The 20,190-nt window shown below is 38.7% G+C and overlaps 1 protein-coding gene across 51 annotated transcripts in view; it reads left to right on the forward strand.

Annotated features, from left to right (window-relative positions):
• MGA (MAX dimerization protein MGA) overlaps window positions 1-20,190 on the forward strand; it is a 148,717-nt gene that overhangs the window by 95,632 nt on the left and 32,895 nt on the right. For 31 of the 51 annotated variants that reach the window (XM_017022029.3, XM_047432300.1, XM_047432302.1 and 28 more), the window contains 4 exons: window positions 10,325-10,551; window positions 12,309-12,494; window positions 17,667-17,739; window positions 19,326-19,843. In XM_017022029.3, the coding sequence (XP_016877518.1) occupies window positions 10,325-10,551; window positions 12,309-12,494; window positions 17,667-17,739; window positions 19,326-19,843 (1,004 nt within the window). Of the gene's footprint in view, window positions 1-10,324; window positions 10,552-12,308; window positions 12,495-17,666; window positions 17,740-19,325; window positions 19,844-20,190 lie in introns of those variants that run through there. The other 20 variants (XM_047432281.1, XM_047432295.1, XM_047432298.1 and 17 more) reach the window with 3 other exon arrangements.

The following is a 20,190-nucleotide window of genomic DNA, read 5'->3' on the forward strand; positions in this document are numbered from 1 at the left end:
ATGCATAAAATCTCAGCATTTAATACTTTTTTTTTGTCATTGTAACAGACTTAAAAATTTTTTTGTAATGGTTCAATCCATTGCTGAAAAAAAGATGGGTAACATTATTGGACACTGTTATGCATAGCTCTCTATGAAGGTTCTATCATTTAAACCTTCAACCTTATATGATAAGGAGGCTTCATTCTCCATTTTAGAAATGAGCTAATTGAGTGCTTAGTGACTTGTTCTCCAAGGTCATAAAGATACTAAGTGAGTTGTAGGGGACTGCCAAGTCCTCATGCTTTTTCTGCCTTGTACAATTTCTGAAATTTTAATTCTGCCTCCTTGTTGTAGACCCCAGTGGCCTTTACTTTTATCACCTGCTTATCCTTTGGTTTGTCAAAAAATACTGCTGGCTGTGCAGAGGTACTGTGCCTAGCTGTTGTGGGTAGTACCAAGGGAAAGAATAAAACTTGTCATTTCTGTTTTCTTAGCCCACTTAATATACCTATAAATTAACAATATAAAGAAAAAAAATCAATAAAATTGATACTTGTAGCCAGACTGAGGAATAAAGAGAACATACTAATTACCATTATTAGGAATGAAAGGTGACTTCAGTACAGACATTGAAAGGATGATATGGCAATATTATGAACAACTTTATGTCAGTAAATGGAGAACTCAGATGAAATGGAAAAACTCTTTAAAAGACACAAGCTACAAAACTCACTCAAGAAGAAATAGGTGACTGCTTGCCTTATACTTATTAGAGAATTGAACTTGTAGTGGAAAACCCTGCAATAATAATTCTGGTCTGAGTTGCTTCACTGTTGAATTCTATAAAACATTAAAGACTAAATCCCATTTGATACAGTCTTCCATAAAATGGTGTCATCTTATGAAACCAGCATTACCCTGATATTCAATCCATAAGAAGACTTTACAAGAAAACTGTAGACTGATAACCCTTATGAACATAGATGTAAAATTTCTAAATAAAAGTTTAGCAACTCAAATCCAACAGTATATTTAAAGAATACTGCATCATGACTAAGTGGGGTGTATCCTAGAAGTGTGGGATTTGTTTAACATTTGAAAAATCAATCAGTATACTTTGCCATTACAGTGGACTTAAAAAAAGACCAGTCTGGGTGACAGAGTGAGACCCTGTCTCAAAAAAAAAAAAAAAATTAATGTTCTAAATTATGGTGACATCATATGTTGTAATTAGTAAATATGTCCATATGTATAAAATACATATTAAGGATAGAAATTTGATTTAGATATGAATATTTATGTAATTTGCCATATAACAGATTAAATGAGATCATTTATGATATTAGTGAATGTGGTTAAATTGATAAAAATTCAACATTTATCATCTCAAGATATATATCTATCTCACTATATATAGATAGATATCTTGATATATGTAGTGTATATGTAGTGTGTGTGTGTGTGTATATATATATATATATATACATATATATATACATGTATAGTATTATTTAGTTAGGTTCTTAAGAAGTTTAAAACACCAATTTGTGAGGATAAATTCCATTCGTCAGGGCAAACACAGATCGCAGGTAGCCCTGGAGCTGAGGAATAGCTTTGATTTTTCGTACAATTTGTGAGTCCACAGCTTTCTGATCAATCTTGCACTGCTCTGTAGTCTTGTAGTTCTCTTTTTCTGTGTCAGAGATCTCACCTTCCTGGTGTCTGGGCTTCTGCAACTGCTTCTCGAAGTGAGCATCAATAAGATGTTTTGGGATTTTTACATTGCTAATGCCAGTTTTGGTTGAGATGGCAATGACAAATTTCTGGTGTGTTCAAGCTCCACCTGATTAAGAGATATTTTTGAAAGATTGACAAAATTCATTTCTGGTAAAAATTCTCAGCACACTAGGAATAGCAAGGAATTTTCTCAACTGGATAAAATAATCTTTGAAAAATATTACAATTGACATATTAATGATAAAAGACTTATTGTTCTCTCCCAAAGACTGGGAATGAGGAAGAATGCCCATTTTTACCACTTCTGTTTAACGTTATGTACAGGAGGTCCTAGCCAGTGCAGTAAGGGCATGATAAAGAGAGAGGTATCCAGATTGGAAAGGAAGAAGTAAAAATTGGCTTTATTCATGGATAGGAAAATCCTAGGGAATCTACAAAATAAGCTACTAGAACTGTAAGTCAGTTTAATGAGGTTGCAGCATACATTATCAGTATGCAACATGTTTGTACATATAAGCAATGAACAATTGGAAATTGAGATAAGTTGAGATTAAAAAAATACCATTTAAAATAGCATCCAACGAGAAGAGACACTTAAGGATAACTTTGATAAAAGATGCCTAAAACCTATATACTAAAAACTATAAGATATTGCTGAGAGTGATTTTAAGAGGCCTAAATAAATGGAAAAATATATTGTTTTCATTTATCAGAAGACACTCTTGGTAAGATACTTTTCACAAATTGGCCTATAGATCTGCTGATGCTATTCCAATCAAAATCCTAACAGGCTTCTGGGGGATAGAAATTGGCAAGTTTCTAAAATTTTTATGAAAAACAGAGGACTTAGAATAGTCCAAACAACTTTGATAAAGAATGTACCTGGCCACACGTGGTGGCTCATGCCTGTAATCCCAGCACTTCAGGAGGCCGAGACTAGTGAATCATCTGAGCTCAGGAGTTCATGACCAGCCTGGGCAACATGGCGAAACCCTGTCTCTACCAAAAATACAAAAAATTAGCCTGGTGTGGTGGTATGCACCTGTAGTCCGAGCTACTTGGGGGGCTGAGGTGGGAGGATCACTTGAGCCTGGGAGGCAGAGGTTGCAGTGAACTGAAATTATGCCACTGCATCTCCAGTCTGGGTGACAGAGTGAGACCCTGTCTCAAAAAAAAAATTAATGTTCTATATTATGGTGACATCATATGTTGTAATTAGTAAATATGTCCATATGTATAAAATACATATTAGTGATTAGGGGTAGAAATTTGATTTAGATATGAATATTTATGTAATTTGCTGTATAACGGATTAAATGAGATTATGATATTAATGAATTAATGAATATGGTTAAATTGATAAAAATTCAACATTTTTTATTTAAAAAATAACTTAGCAAGTGAACCTCGGAAAAATGCTGCTTCTCACTTTCATCTGTAATCTTATTTCAGTCCTAATCAAAACTCTGATAGCTTTTTATGTGAAACATGAAAAGCAGAACTTATAATTTATATGGAAATGCGAAGAATCTAGAAATAACCAGGTCAATCTTGAAGAACAGTGGCAGAATGGAAGGATTTTATTGTATGTCAAGAGTTACAAAATTACCACGTGATATGGGTGATATTGGCTTGTCATAAAATGAATAGACAAGTAGAACAGAATAGAGAGGCTACAGGCTGGGTGCTGTGGCTCATGCCTTGTCATCCCAGCACTTTGTGGGGCCAAGGCAGGAGGATCGCTTGAGCCCAGGAGTTCGAGACCTGCCTGAGCAACATAGCAATACTTCCATCTCTACTAAAAATAAAAAAAATTTTGGCTGATGGCATGGTGGCTCAGGCCTGTTGTCCCAGCTGTGCAGTAGGCTGAGGCAAAAGTATGGCCAGGAGGTTGAGCCTGCAGTGAGCCGTGATAGTGCCACTGCACTCCAGCCTGGGTGACAGAGTGAGATGTTGTCTCAAAAATAAAAACTAAGGCCAGACGCGATGGCTTACACCTGTAATCCTAGCACTTTGAGAGGCCGAGGTGGGCAGATTGCCTGAGCTCAGGAGTTCGAAACCAGCCTGTGCAACATGGCGAAACCCCGTCTCTACTAAAAATACAAAAAATTAGCCGGGCATGGTGGTGTGCGCCTGTAATCCCAGCTACTCTGGAGGCTGAGCCACGAGAATCTCTTGAACCCGGGAAGCTGAGGTTGCAGTGAGCCGAGATTGCACTGTTGCACTGGACGACAAAGTGAGACTCTGTCTCAAAATAAAATAAAATAAAATAATACTGTAAACAGATTCAAACATAAATGGACTCTTGATTTGACAGAAGTGGCGAAGAAATAAAGAAAGAATGATCTTTTCACCAAATGGTGATAGGATTATTGTACATCCGTATGGGAAAAATAGAAACTTTATTCGTTTCTCACACCATATATGGAAATAATTTGTAGGTACGTTATACACCTAATTTTCAATGACTAAACAATACAGCATTTAGAAGATACAGGCAAATGTATACAGGATCTCATATTAGGAAAAAATTTCTTAAACATGACAGAAGAAAACCAATTCTTAGGGAAAAGATCAAGCCATTTGACAACTTTAAAATAAGAAATTCAGAGGCTGGGCACGGTGTCTCACGCCTGTGATTCCAGCACTTTGGGAGGCTGAGGTGGGTGGATTACTTGTGGTCAGGAATTCGAGACCAGCCTGGCCAACATGGTGAAACCCCATCTCTACCAAAAATACAAAAATTAGCCAGGTGTGATAGGGTGTGCCTCTAATCCCAGCTACTCAGGAGGCTGAGGCACAAAAATCGCTTGAACCTGGGAGATGGAGGTTGCAGTGAGCCGAGATTGTGCCACTGCACTCCAGCCTGGGAGATAGAACGAGACTCTGTCTCAAAAATAAATAAAAGCAGATATTTGTAATATCTAAGGACCTATATCCAAAATATATAAAGGTGTCTACAAATTAATAATAAACACTCCTGTAGAAAAAATGAGCAAGAGTTTTAGAAGCATTTCATAAAGTGGAATGTTGAATGGCTCATTTGTAGTTGGGGAAATCCAAATTAAATCCATGATGAGATTCTACTAGACACCTGCCAGAATGGTTATCATTACAAGCCTCTACTAATACCAACTATTGATAAAGACAATGAACAATGGGAAATCTCCTACACTGCTGATGGGGAAATAAATAGGTGTAACCGCTTTGGAAAATAGTTGGGCAGTATCTACTGAAGTTGAAGATTCATAGCCCTTGATCTAGCAGTTTGACTCCAGAGTAACAAGCAGAACTGTATTATATAAGAATATTTACATGATTCTCACAGTATTTAAAACCTGAAAACAACCCCAAATGTCTAATAACAATAGAAGAATAAACAGTAGTATGAATATTCAGTGAAATAACATACCACAGTGAAAATAAATGAATTACAACTGTGTGTTTCAGCATAGATGAATTTTACAAATATAATGTTGAAGGGGAAAAACGCCAGGTAAAAGAATGTATCTTTGATTCCATTAATATAAACTTTTAAAGTAGGCCAATTTTTTTTTTTTTTTTTTTTTTTTTGAGACGGAGTCTTGCTCTCTCGCCCAGGCTGGAGTGCAGTGGTGCGACCTCGGCTCACTGCAAACTCCGCCTCCCGGGTTCACACCATTCTCCTGCCTCAGCCTCCCGAGTAGCTGGGACTACAGGCGCCCGCCACCACACCCGGCTAATTTTTTGTATTTTTAGTAGAAACGGGGTTTCACCATGTTAGCCAAGATGGTCTCAATCTGCTGACCTCGTGATCCGCCTGCCTCGGCCTCCCAAAGTGCTGGGATTGCAGGTGTGAGCCAGTGTGCCCGGTCTAAAGTAGGCAAAATTAAGGTATGATATTTAGGTGTTATACTTTGACATTCAAAAAAGGAAAGCAAAGAGGTAGCTATCATTTAAGTGCCTTTTTTATAGGAAGGGGAGGGATTGTGATTGAGAAAGGGTTCTGGAATTGATAGCACTGTTCTATTTCTTGTATGGTGTTTACATGGATGTATAGTTCTTAATATGTATTGAGCTGTATACTGTTTATGTACATTTCTTTATAAATGCTATATTTCATTATAAAGAGATCCAAAATGCCTACAAAAATCAGAGGAAGAGGAGCATGGTGTGTTAGTGTGCTGTATTAGCATGGCAGTTCTTGTAGGTCTTCTAAGTGTAATGCTTTTCATTTATGGTGCAACTACTATGGACACTGCTAGGAGTGAGGAGGTAGAATATAGGCAATTAAAACAAGTCCATCGCTCTAAGAGGTTACTGTCAATTTGATAAAACAGGTATGTGGTGAAAAGATACATATTTATTGTAATTTTAAGTCCCACGAGTAACTGAATTCCTGTAATGTTTTAAGTGTCATGAACAAAAGGCTTACTGAGAAGCCAGAAGACAGAGTGATAAAGCTAGGGGACTTGGGTAATATATATTAGGAGGCATTTCAGTAGAAATGAGGAGACCATTTCTTTGTTAAAACTGATTTCTATTCTTGGCTCCTGTCAATGAATATGTGCTACTCAGCTTCTCCCCTTAATTCCACCTTTTCCTGCTGAGTGTTGTTCTTTTTTTTTCCTGAGTTTCAGGGAAAGAGTAGGAGAATCTCTAGTGTCATTATAAGGGGAAATAAAGAGGTGCTGTATCTTGGATCCCAGGCTGTATAAAGGAATCAAGTGAACAGTGGGCCAGTGAGTGTGAGGGATCAGTATTTTGTTCTTGCCTTTGTAGGGAGCCTGTTTTCATGGCTTCAATTCTACTAGTCTCTGCCAATGATGGTCCTGGTTTTTAATTCCCATGCTATTTTATTTATTTACATATATTTTTGAGAGAGAGGGTCTTGCTCTGTCACCCAGGCTGGAGTGCTGTGTCTTGATCATAGCTAACTATATCCTTGATCTCCCTGGCTCAAGCGGTCCTTCCGTCTTAGCCTCTGGAGTAGCTAGGACTACAGGTACATGCCACCATGCCCAGCTAAAGCTTTTTATATTCTGTAGAGACAGGGTCTTGCTATGTTGCCCAGGCTGGTTTTGGGCTCCTGGCCTCAAGAGATCCTCCCACCTTGGCATCTGTATTGGGATTATAGGTGTGAGCTACTGCATCTGGCTCCCTACCCCATTTTTAGTATGTTGTTGTCCTTCCAATTTAAAACATGTCATAAACAGAACTGAACTCTACCCCTCTCAGTCAAATCCTTTTATGAACTCCCCTATTTATTGGAAGCTCCATTTCTCATTTTTTCCCATTCTGGTGACAGATTAACCATTTCCTACTTATTCACAGTTGAAATTTTAAAATTGTCTTTGATTGCCTGTGAGATATTAAGAGAAATATGAATAATCATTCTTGGTATCTTAAGAGTTTTTTTTTTTTTTGAAGTACTGTACTGTGTATTTTGTAGCTATTATTTCAAAAGGAAAAGATGAAAAGGGACCTTTGCTTAGTATAATGCTTAGTTTATGGAGGCTTAGAAAATCCTTAAAAGATTATTGATAGAAGTCCAAGATGTCTTGCTTGCCCTAAAGGTGCTTTTGTTTTTGTCTTATAATTAATGCGTGTACAAAATAATTAGCTACACTGAACAAGAAAGTTTTTATTAAATGTGTGGTAGAACCTCTTAATACCACCTTCACTGGGAGGGCAAGCCTCAAAAGACATACTTGTACATACTTACTACACATGCTACCTATTTCCTTTCCTGTTTTTTCTCTTAAGTACCTAACCATATTCCAACACATTTTCCGTATTCATCATATTGCCTGTCTCATCTTACTTCCCCCCAAAAGCTACCTGAAAGCAAGGATTTTTGTCAGTTTTATTCATTGTTGTATCTGCAAAGTCTGATACGTAGTAGAAATTCAAATATTTGAATGCATAAATGAATATTGGTGTCTAGAAACCTTTGTGCCATCTCTATAAAAAAGTTAAAATTAAAAAATTAGCCAAGTGGTGTGTGCTTGTAGTCTCAGCTATAAGATGAGGCAGTGAGATGATCTCTTGAGTCAGGGAGGCCAGGGCTATGGAGAGCCATGGTGGTGCCAGTACACTCCAGCCTGGGTGACAGAGTCTCAAATTCTGTCTCAAAATAAAAAACAACCAGAAACATTGGTGAATTATGTTATAAAGGAGCTAAATTTTAAAAGGTAGTTGACAGAGACTGCAGCTGGCTAATTGACTCAATCACTTTCTAGCTTTGTTGTCCCCACCTCCCACCCCCTTTTTAATTTTTAAACCTTTATTCAAATTTTGTGATTGTGCCCGTATGTTTACCTCAGGAGCCCCTTAGACAAAGTTGTTCTTTACCAGTTGTTATTAATGTTCAGAGCAAATATACTACTTACGAAAATCAGGTAGCAGCTTAGATTCTGCTTTGTCATGAAAGATTAATTGAAGTAAGTATTTGAATTAAGTATGAATGCCACTCAGTCATATTTTATGTGACTCTAGGTGAAAGTTTTTGGGTCTTTGGCTTTGAACCAGCTACATGTCCTCTGTGAGGACTAACCATTAAAATGCAGAAATACATTTACTTCACTACGGCTGCTTTATGGGAATGGGCAGTTTACTTAAAGAATAAAACCAGTAGTGCTGGGCGTAGTAGCTCATGCCTGTAATCCCAGTGACTCAGGAGGCTGAGGCCGCAGGATTGCATGAGGCCAGGAGTTCAAAACAGGCCTGGGTAACATAGTGAGACCTGGTCTCTAAAAAGAAAATTTTTTTTCTTTATATTACCTTTAATTAACTCTTAACAACTAAACCTTTTTTTAAAGACCTAAAATTTATTTTTAAAGACCTATGCAGGCATGGTGGCATGTACCTGTAGACCTAGCTACTTGGGAGCCTGAGGCAGGAAGATCACTTTAGCCAGGAGGCTACAGTGAGCCATGATTGTGCCACTACTTGGGCAACAGAGTGAGACTTGTACTCTTAAAAAAATAAATAAGTAGGGCCGGGCGCGGTGGCTCACGCCTGTAATCCCAGCACTTTGGGAGGCCGAGGCGGGCGGATCACGAGGTCAGGAGATCGAGACCATCCCGGCTAAAAAACGGTGAAACCCCGTCTCTACTAAAAATACAAAAAATTAGCCGGGCGTAGTGGCGGGCGCCTGTAGTCCCAGCTACTTGGGAGGCTGAGGCAGGAGAATGGCGTGAACCCGGGAGGCGGAGCTTGCAGTGAGCCGAGATCCCGCCACTGCACTCCAGCCTGGGCGACAGAGCGAGACTCCGTCTCAAAAAAAAAAAAAAAAAAAAAATAAATAAATAAATAAATAAATAAGTAAACCCAGGAGCCTCTTAACCTAGATCTTCTTTTTAATTTAGTTAAGTAATCAATGCATATTTTCCTTTGTGCACATTTTTTGGGGGATTATTTATTAACAAGTAAAAATGCATATATTGGTCTATAACATGACATTTTGATGTAAATTGTAGAATGGCATACAGAACTTCTTGATAGTATGATTTTACCTCAGTTGGGTTTCATTGCGTCTATATTGATATAAGTGTTTTTACTCCTGTACTGAGTTCAGGCTGTCTTTTGATTACAATTTGTTATTAGAATGCAGTAGTGACAGCTTGGTCTCTGGAGCCAGATAGACAGGGTTTGATTCTGGTTCTGCCTCTTACTGGTTGGACATCCCTGCCTCTCACTGGTTGGACATCCCTGCACCTCAGCTTCTGTACCATGGGAATGATACCTACCTCAGGAGTTGTTGGAGTTAAAACACATGAAGTGCTTAGCACAGGTGCTTAGAACAATGCTTAGAACTATTGAATAATAAGGTTCAGTAAATGTTTGTTGTTATTATTTAGGAAATAAAGTGTGGTTAAAAGTTATCTTTTTGACTAGGCATGGTGGCTCACAACTGTAATCTGGCACTGTGGGAGGCCAAGGTTGGGTGGATCACTTGAGGCCAGGAGTTCGAGACCAGCCTGGCCAACATGACAAAACCCCATCTCTACCAAAAATATAAAAATTAGCCAGGTGTGGTGGCATATACCTGTAATCCCAGCTACTCAGGTGGCTGAGGCATGAGAATCTCCTGAACATGGGAGGCAGAGGTTGCCATGAGCCAAGATTGCGCCATTGCACTCCACCCTAGGTGACAGAACAAGACTCTGTCTCAAAAAAAAAAAAAAAAATTTTTTTTCAGTAAGGTCTTCTCTGACCCTAAATATAATGGCAACTCTTGTTTTAATTCTTCATTCCTTAATTACCTTGCTGTGTTTTTCTACATGGCTTACCATTACTTGATATTATATATTTATGGGTTTGTCTTCCCCTACTGGATTTTAAACTCTGAGGGCAAGAACTTTGTTTTATTCATAGCTGTGTTCATTCTAATGCCTAAAACAGTATCTGGTTGATAGCTGGTGTTCAATAAATATTTAAAGATGAATAAATGAAAGTATATAAATACCACTAAATGCCCTTTGTTTGGGGAGGGGGTCGTCTATTTGATTATTTTAACGAGTTACTGCCTTTTGTGAGGGAGCGTATTTTGTTTTGGCAGTGCCTCAGTATTGATCTTTTGTTGCCAAAAGTACCTAAAACCTTACCCTTCTTTTTTGTTAAGCTATATGTGAGACAGAGCCTGAACAGCCTGTTCGACATTACCCATTATGGGTAAAAGTAGAAGGTGAAGTAGATCCAGAACCAGTTTATATCCCCACGCCTTCTGTCATTGAGCCTATGAAACCATTGTTATTGCCTCAGCCAGAAGTTTTATCTCCTACTGTGAAGGGCAAACTGCTCACTGGAATTAAATCTCCACGGTCATATACTCCCAAACCCAATCCTGTGGTAAGTCTGGAATTTAATCTTTTATTACAAGTTACCAAAGTCATGTGTAAAGATGGTGTGTTTCAAGCAGATTTTTGGTTGATATTTTGTGAATCATTTTGCTTTCAGTAATATGTTTATAAGATATCTTCCTTTCTGGTTTAATCAGTTTAGTGCTGGCACTTTAAAAATGTCTTAAAAGTAGAAATGAGTAGTAGTAATTTTAAAAAATAACCATCTTCAAGAAGATCATAGAAACATAGGCTTTTTTACATGGCTTGGAAAAAGTTTTTTAAAGATACTACTCCTGTATTGTAGAATATTAGTAATCAATATAAGCAGTATATATTATTAGTAGAAAAACATTAGGAAAAAGCTTTTAAAAGCTTTTAAAAGCAAATTTAAAAATGCATAATAATATCAGTAAAGTTTAAGATTTAAAGTAACAGTTGATATAATATGACTGAAGACTGGTAGGTAAAAGTAGGAAGTTATTCATTGTGTTAATGGCTTAAGCAAGTCTTATTATCAAATCCATGTGTCCTCCTAGTCCATTAGATTGAAGAAAAATCCTATACTACGATGCTACTGAATATGTTCTTTGTAGCAGAGCTATTATAGTATAAAACTGTTTCTGGTCTGTGATGAAATAAGCAAGGGTGGGCCGGGCGCGGTGGCTCACGCTTGTAATCCCAGCACTTTGGGAGGCTGAGGCGGGTGGATGATCTGAGGTCAGGAGTTCGACACCAGCCTGGCCAACATGGTGAAACCCCGCCTCTACTAAAAATAAGAAAAATTAGCCGGGCGTGGTGGCTCATGCCTATAATCCCAGCTACTCGGTAGGCTGAGGCAGGAGAATCACTTGAACCTGGGAGGCGGAGGTTGTGGTGAGCCGAGATTGCTCCACTGCATTCCAGCCTGGATGACAGAGCAAGACTCCATCTCAAAAACAACAACAACAAAACCTGAAAAAGGCAAGGGTTAGGGCCGCTGATCTCCACGCAGTCCAAATTCTGCATATAATTTTCAACTCCCCCAAAACTGAACTCTTAATAGTGTACTGTTGACTAGAAGCCTTACCAATAACATAAACAGTCAACACATTTTTGTTATATGTAGTATATACTGTATTCTTACAATAAAATGAGCTATAGAAAAGAAAATGTTACTAAGAAAATAATAAGGGAAAGAAAATGTTGTTACTATTCATTAGTGGATCATCATAAAGGTCTTCATACTATCTTCACATGGAGTAGTCTGAGGAGGAACAGGAAGAGTTGATTTTACTGTCTTGGTGACAGAGGTGGAAGAAAATCCATATGTGAGTGGACCCACACAGTTCAAACCTGTGTTATTCAGGGGTCAGCTGGATAGAAAATAAGAGTAAATATTTAGAAATTTCTACAGCAAGTTGATTAGCTGAATCTAATATTTAAAAACCTTGCATTTTATATGTTTTTAGTTTTTCTAGTAATTTATTGTATTTACTAAAGTATCAGTCTATGATGGACTGGTAATTAACAATGTATCCTTCACCATAGATAATTTGAAATGCACTGCTCTGGTATGATCTGAAATTTCCTGATAGAGAACTGGATCCTTTCTGACTGCCCTAAGGTTCGGCACATATGAACTGTACTTGTGCTGTTTGATTTGAAAGTTTGCATTAAAAAATTTCGACTGTTGTAATACAAAAAAAGATTAAACATTCGTTTTGTTTTGGAGTCTAGCGGAGTTTTTCCCACTGTATGGAATATTTTGTTGTATGAAATTTACAGATTCGGGAAGAGGACAAAGATCCAGTCTACTTGTACTTTGAAAGTATGATGACTTGTGCTCGAGTTCGAGTATATGAGCGAAAAAAAGAGGACCAGAGACAACCATCTTCCTCCTCCTCCCCATCTCCATCATTTCAGCAGCAAACTTCATGTCATTCTAGCCCTGAGAACCATAATAATGCAAAGGTGAGTTTCTTGTTGCATAAGTTCTTTTTAACTTCTGATTACCTGTTTTTGGTATTAAGATTTGTATTACTATCAGAATAATAATTATCCTACAGGGCAGAGAAGTCATACATGACATGTATAACAGTTTATTTCTCTGTGTACCTATTGTATGATACGTCCCTTATGGTTATTACAAGTATTCTTTCTTGGTTGGGTGCTGTGGCTCATGTCTCTAATCCCAGCACTTTGGGACGCTGAGGCAGGCGGATCAGTTGAGCCCAGGAGTTTGAGGCTAGCCTGGCCAACATGGTGAAACCCTATCTTTACTAAAAATACAAAAAAAAAAATTAGCTGGGCCTGGTGCCGCATGCCTGTAATCCCAACTACCTGGGGTGCTGAGGAACGAGAATTACTTGAACTTGGGAGGTGGAGGTTGGAGGTTGCAGTGAGCTGCTATCATGCCACTTTACTCCAGCCTGGGTGACAGAGTGAGACTCTGTTTCAAAAAAATATGTATATTATTCTTTCTTTTTCTTTTCTTTTTTGTTATAATAATCTTTTATTTATTTATTTATTTTGAGATAGAGTTTTGCTCTTGTTGCCCAGGCTGGAGTGCAATGGTGTGGTCTCGGCTCAGTGCAACCTCTGCCTCTTGGGTACAAGCAATTCTCCTGCCTCAGCCTCCTGGGTAACTGAGATTACAGGTGCCTGCCACCACGTCTGGCTAATTTTTTGTATTTTTAGCAGAGATGGGGTTCCACTATGTTGTCCAGGCTGGTCTCGAACTCCTGACCTCTGATGATCCACCCACCTTGGCCTCCCAAAGTGCTGGGATTACAGGCGTGAGCCACTGCACCCAGCCACATTTGCATCCAGCACTTTGGGAGGCCGAGGTGGGCTGATCGAGACTAGCCTGGCCAACAAGGTGAAACCCCATCCATAGTAAAAACACAAAAAATTAGCCGGGTGTGGTGGTGGGCCCCTGTAATCCCAGCTATTCGGGAGGCTGAGGCAGGAGAATCCCTTGAACCCAGGAGGCCAAGGTTGCACTGAGCTGAGACCACACCATTGCACTCCAGCCTGGGCAACAAGAGCAAAACTTTGTCTCAAAAGAAAAAAAAAAATGTAATTAAGCAGTGGTTATCAAGAAAGTTAACTCAATAATAGGGAATAGTTTTCAAATATGCACCCTGTACCAACAAAATCCTGTATAATTTACACAGTCGTTCAAGCAAACACAAGAAAACTGGTTCAATTTCTATGAATTATCAAGAGGAAAGGAAAAATGCCCTTCTATCTCAAATCAGGTTTGAATGACAGCTTTTTTCAGTATAATAAAGACATATGTGCACACAATAAAGACAAAATATGTCTTCCCATTCTAAAACACTTCCTCTTTTAGTCCGTTATATGCTTTGCATAATCTTGTGTGGTAAGTCTTTGCTGCAACTGATAATATTCAAAGTAAATCCCTCCTGGTTTAGTGTTCTAAGAAGCCAATAGTTGCAGCAATTCGAGCATTAAGTGTACTTCCAGAATCTGTAATATTCCAATGCTGTTACCAGGCAAGTAAACGCTGAGGCTGTGAAAAGAAGAAACTATGTTATAAGTCATGTATTTGTGATTATTTTGCAGAGATAAAGAGAATGATGTTATCTTTAAGTGAAGAGCAAAAAACAAAGGACATCCAACCAATTTTCTATCCTGCATTTTTCATTCCTTGGAAAATTAAGGATGAAAAACATTCTTAAGGGCAGCATTAATGCCAATTCTTCTTAAAAGCTCCTGTATTTTAAAACAGAATAAGGATGACAGTAATTTAAAAATGTAAATTATATATCATTTAGAACCTATAAACAGTATTTAAAATCATTAACATTAGCATTATTAATGACCACTTTAATTATAAGTTGTAATTTCAGATCTCATGATAAATAAAAACTTTGTTACCTATATTAAAAAATTATATAGTTAAGCTAGTAGCATTTATGCATGTATCTATGCATTTATCTATGTATCTATGCAGAGAAAATTTTAATTGCCTTTTTAGTATATTTTAAAATAATTTCTCTCATAATTATTTTAAACATTTTCATAAAAACTCTTTAAAATAAACTCAGTGAGGTAGAAGGAAAGACAGAAAAAGCATCAAGTTTTTAAAGTAGTTAATATACTACTTTTACTTTGTTACATCATTTTGGATAAAAAAAACTTCTGTTTTCCCAGCTTTCAGGAGGTAGGTCTGGCTTTTAGGGACTTTTAGGGACTCCCTAGTCTTCAGTTTGTTTAAAATACCCATGAATGAATTTTTAAGAAGGACAAACTTTTATGAATAAAGACACAAGAAATTAGTTTTTCAAAGTAAAGTTATTCATAGCATATAATCCTAATTATACACTATGCCATTTGATTCCAGTACTTACTGAAACTTGGTTAATAAGATCATTTTCTCAATTTTAAGAAATGGGATTAGGCATCTCTTAAACATGTGGGGAAGCAGGATATTTGAGAAGTAAAAACACGAATAAGGGTTTCTTGTCTTACTGCCACTGGGCAATTATACATTCTCCCATTTGATCCTGCTACTGTTTACCATGTGTCAGGTAGTGTGCCAGTGTGCTGTGCAATTACATGTACTACCTTATTTAACCATATGAGGTTGGTGGTATTATCCCCATTGCACACATGAGGCAATAAGTCCTAAGCTATATTGCTAGCAAGCAGTGAAGCCAGGATTTAAGACTAAGTATACTTGACCCCAAAGGTGTCTTTATTTATTTATTTTAAAGAAAAAGCCCCTAAAATCCATTTTGTTATCCTTTTTTTTTTTTTTTGGAGACGAATTCTCGCTCTGTCCCCCAGGCTGGAGTGCAGTGGCGCAACCTCAGCTCACTGCAAGCTTCGCTTTCCAGTTCACGCCATTCTCCTGCCTTAGCCTCCCGAGTAGCTGGGACTACAGGCACCCGCCACCACGCCCGGCTAATTTTTTGTATTTTTTAGTAGACACGGGGTTTCACCATGTTAGCCAGGGTGGTCTCAGTCTCCTGACGTCGTGATCCGCGCACCTCAGCCTCCCAAAGTGCTGGGATTACCCACGTGAGCCACCGTGCCCGGCCTGTTATCCTTATTATATCTTGTGACACCTGAAACACTCAATCTGTCATTTACTTGAGCCACTATAATGCTATCTAGATGGTTATATCCTCTGCTAATGCAAGAACTGATAAATTTTTAGATAACCAAGTGAACACTTACTTATTGTGAGGTGGGAGGTATTTTAGTCCATTTAAATGTGCTGTTTATCCTCTGTGGCCTGTCTAGGGAGACATTCTACATATATGTAAAATGCTTAGGTCAGCATGTGCCTGGTACATTATAAGTACCCTGTAAACACTAGCTTTCATTATTATCTGCTCAGAACAAAATCTGCTATTAATACATTAACTACGTAGATTAAATGGAAACTGCCATTATCCTACAGCTCTTGCCTCCTTGGCAACAGTGTTCTGGGTCAAAGGCTGGTGTCTGATCCAAGATGAACCATTCAGACTCCTTTCCTAGGATTTTAAAAATTGGAACCAAGGGCTGCTCTGTCTATGGAGTAGCCATTTTTTTATTCCTCTACTTTTCTTTTTTCTTTTTTTAAAGACGGAGTCTCGCTCAGCCACCCAGGCTGGAGTGCAGTGGCGCTGTCTTGGTTCACTGCAACCACCGTCTCTGGGGTTCAAGTGATTCTCCCATCTCAGTCTCCCGAGTAGCTGGCATTACGGGCGGGTGCCACCATGCCCGGCTAATTTCTATGCTTTAGTTGAGACGGGGTTTTACCATGTTGGCCAGGCTGATCTTGAACTTCTGACCTCAGGTGATCCACCCACCTCGGCCTCCCAAAGTGCTGGATTACAGGCGTGAGCCACAACATCCAGCCTGTTCCTCTACTTTCTTAACTTGCTTTCACTTAAAAAAAAAATTGGAACTAAGGAAAGAGGGCAGTCTCTCCTGATTAGTGAAAGTGGAATGATAAAAGAGTCTAGGTGGCAGTCTGTCCAACCCATGGAGGATTATATGAGAAACTGAGGCACACATTCACAGATAATTTAAATAATAAGTTCTGATTCCAGTTACCCTTGTAGTTAGGCTACACCTCTTCCCTTTCCATGGTTCAGCTGATGGCTGGGGGCTCCACCTTCGCTTGTACTGCCACCTCAACATCAGTGGTGACTCCCCGGAAAACCACTAAAGGTATAAATCAGCAGTTTTCTTTTAAACAGCAATTTGTTAATGACAAAAACAAAAAAATTTAAATGTGCATATCTTTTTGACCCTAAATTGTAAGTGTACATAGCATGAGGGCACAAAGATATGTGCATGTATGTATGTTTACTCAAACATACGCATATATATAGCTGTTCAGTGCACTATTGCCCTTACTAATGAGAAATTGGAGGCAGAATGCCTGTTAATAGAGGATTTGATAAATTAAAAAGTATTATTCTTTCTGATCCTGGAGTAATTTTAAAAATTCTAGTTTTATTAATTTGTCTGTAATTATTAGGGTGTGCATCTTTCCACATTGGCAAATTTTGTTTCTTTCTTTTTTTTTTCGAGATAGGGCCTCACTCTGTCACCCAGGCTGAAGTGCAGTGGCATGGTCTCGGCTCACTGCAACCTTCAGCTCAAGCGATCCTTCTGTCTCAGCCTCCCAACCAACTGGGACTATAGGTGTGTGCCACCATTTGTGGCTAAGCTTTTGTATTTTTGGTATAGATGGGGTTTTGCCTTGTTGGCCAGGCTGGTTTGAACTCCTGGGCTCAAGTGATCTTCCCACCTCGGCCTCTCGGAATGCTGGGATTGCAGGCATGAGCCACCGAGACTGGCCTCAACTGGTGAATTTTCTGAATAACTGTAGTTTGTTTCATTTAACAGTAAATATGTTTCCCTCTTTAAAGTACAATGTGAATTTTTTTCTTGATGACTCAGTCACTATCAAGGACATTAGGTAGCAAAACTATGTGTTTTTACCCAGGGTTTTATATGATAGTAACGTAGATGTGCATGTGGATTGAAGCTGTTGACATTTCAGTCATTCTAATGATTTAAACTTCTGTGAGAGATTTAATGCTTGTGTCCAAGTTTCTGTGGGTATTGAATATATGTTAAGTTAAAGTATTTCTGTGTTACTGTCTCCTTCAGGAACCTGATTCTGAACAGCAGCCCTTAAAACAACTCACCTGTGACTTGGAGGATGATTCTGATAAATTACAAGGTCAGAATGAAAACTAGATCTTAACATTTGATAAAAATTATTTAGGTCTAGATTATAGTAATAATGGGAGAAAACCCAAACCATCAATTCAGAATATGTCTGCCTACCCTGTTTCAAACTTATGCCAAAAACAGGGACAATAAGTAAAAGTTTTTTTTCCCCATTATTTGGTCTGTTAACACTCCTGCTCTCAAAAATAAAAGAAAATTCATTCATGTTGATAAAGCATGTTGTTGCAAGAGACATTTAGGTTGAGGTCAGTGAGTTTTTTTTTTTTTAACCTCTTTCCAAACCCCAGTAATATTGGCATCATTAGCCTTTGGTCCTCCATCACTGCCACCTCTGGGGAAATCTAGAAGGAGAAAGGAAGGAATATTACTGTGATTTAGCTGGCAGAGGCTACTGTCAGAATTACTTTGATGACAGGTAGTGGTCAGGTGGTTACCAATTTGTTTTTGGTTATGCTTCCCGAGACTTCTGACACTTAAGCAGCAGGGCTTCCTAACTTCTTAAAAAACGTCATGGTACATACAAATAATTAACAATGTTTCTATAGCACATTGCGGTAAGTGGAGGAGGCTACTAGGGTGGAGGGAACCTGCCTGAGAGCGTGAGCACCCTGAGGATTATGGGGGCCCTTGACATACCAGTACACTCATTGGGAAGCTGTGCTAAAGAAATCCAGGAGTCTAGTGAAATACATGTCTAGTCAACATGTTGCCATGGAAAGAATACTTTGGGTAGTTGAGTGATCTGCAAACAGTGTAGAAATGGAGCAATCATATCTAGAAGCACAGAAGTAATTCAGAGGTATTTGCAGTAGAAATTAGAGTTAGAGTGCACTTAAAATCAGAATACTACAGCTGGGCGCAGTGGCTCACGCCTGTAATCCCAGCACTTTGGGAGGCCGAGGCGGGTGGATCATGAGGTCAAGAGATCCAAGACCATCCTGGCCAACATGGTGAAACCCCGTCTCTAGTAAAAATACAAAAATTAACTGGGCGTGGTGGCACGCGTCCATAATCTCAGCTACTCGGGAGGCTGAGGCAGGAGAACCACTTGAACCTGGGAGGCAGAGGTTGCAGTGAGCTATCACGCCTCTGCACTCCAGCCTGGCGACAGAGCTAGACTCCGTCTCAAAAAAAAAAAAAAATCAGAATACTATTTTTCTTGCTGTTCTTTTGGATTGACTCTAATCTGTACATGTTTCAAAGCATCTAGCAAGTAGTTTCACTTTGCCTGTATGTATAGCAAAATAGTAACCTATACCAGTGAAGCTTAACCTTGGTTGTAGGTCATGGTTTGTTTGCAAGCTAACTCTAATGTAATAATTGTGGCATTTAGAGTAGTGTTAAGGGAACTACCTGTTAGAGCCCAGTCAGCAGGATAATGAGGACTATTGTAGTCTTATTCTCTGGAACTTTTTCTTCCTGGAAAACTCCCAAATTGTGAAAGTTGATACATTTTAAGTTACTACTGTGAAAGAACGTGAGAATGTGACAGTTTTTTTTCAGAGTTTCATACAAAATGCTGTGATGCAGAAATAATCTTTCAACTTTTTCTTTTTTATTATTATTTTACATCAGAAAAGAGCTGGAAGTCTTCCTGCAATGAAGGAGAATCCTCTTCTACTTCTTATATGCATCAGAGGTCACCTGGTGGTCCCACCAAACTGATTGAGATCATCTCAGACTGCAACTGGGAGGAAGATCGGAACAAGATTTTGAGCATCTTATCCCAGCACATCAATAGCAACATGCCACAATCACTTAAGGTGGGCAGCTTCATCATTGAGTTGGCTTCTCAGCGAAAGAGCCGGGGTGAGAAGAACCCTCCTGTTTATTCTTCTCGTGTGAAAATCTCTATGCCATCATGTCAAGACCAAGATGATATGGCTGAGAAATCTGGATCAGAGACTCCTGATGGTCCATTGTCCCCTGGGAAAATGGAGGATATCTCTCCTGTGCAGACAGATGCCCTGGATTCAGTGAGGGAGAGATTACATGGAGGCAAAGGTCTGCCTTTTTATGCAGGGCTTTCTCCTGCAGGGAAGCTTGTGGCCTATAAACGTAAACCCAGTTCAAGTACATCTGGGCTTATCCAGGTGAGAATTATCTTTAATCTGGGTATAGCACCTTTGTATACACCTAGGTAGTATCATGATTTTTCAGAGCCCTTTATGGTCCTGATATCCTTTATCTTGACATTTCCTGGGAACTGGGTGACAAAATTATTATCTCTTTTTGTAATAGGCCTAGTTTAGATGCATACCTAGAGTGAATTTTTGTCACATTTATGAACAGAAACGTAGAGCCTTGTATTAGTTTTAATTTTCTTTCTAATCTTCCCAGAAAGTTGCTCTTCATAAACTTTATTGCCTGCAGGCTCTAGTGATACTTTGACAATAAAGCAAGGGTAATCAGGGATTCAGTCTAGCTCTTGGAATTTATT

This window comes from Homo sapiens, chromosome 15, assembly GCF_000001405.40.
Source record: "Homo sapiens chromosome 15, GRCh38.p14 Primary Assembly".
NCBI lineage: Eukaryota > Metazoa > Chordata > Mammalia > Primates > Hominidae > Homo > Homo sapiens.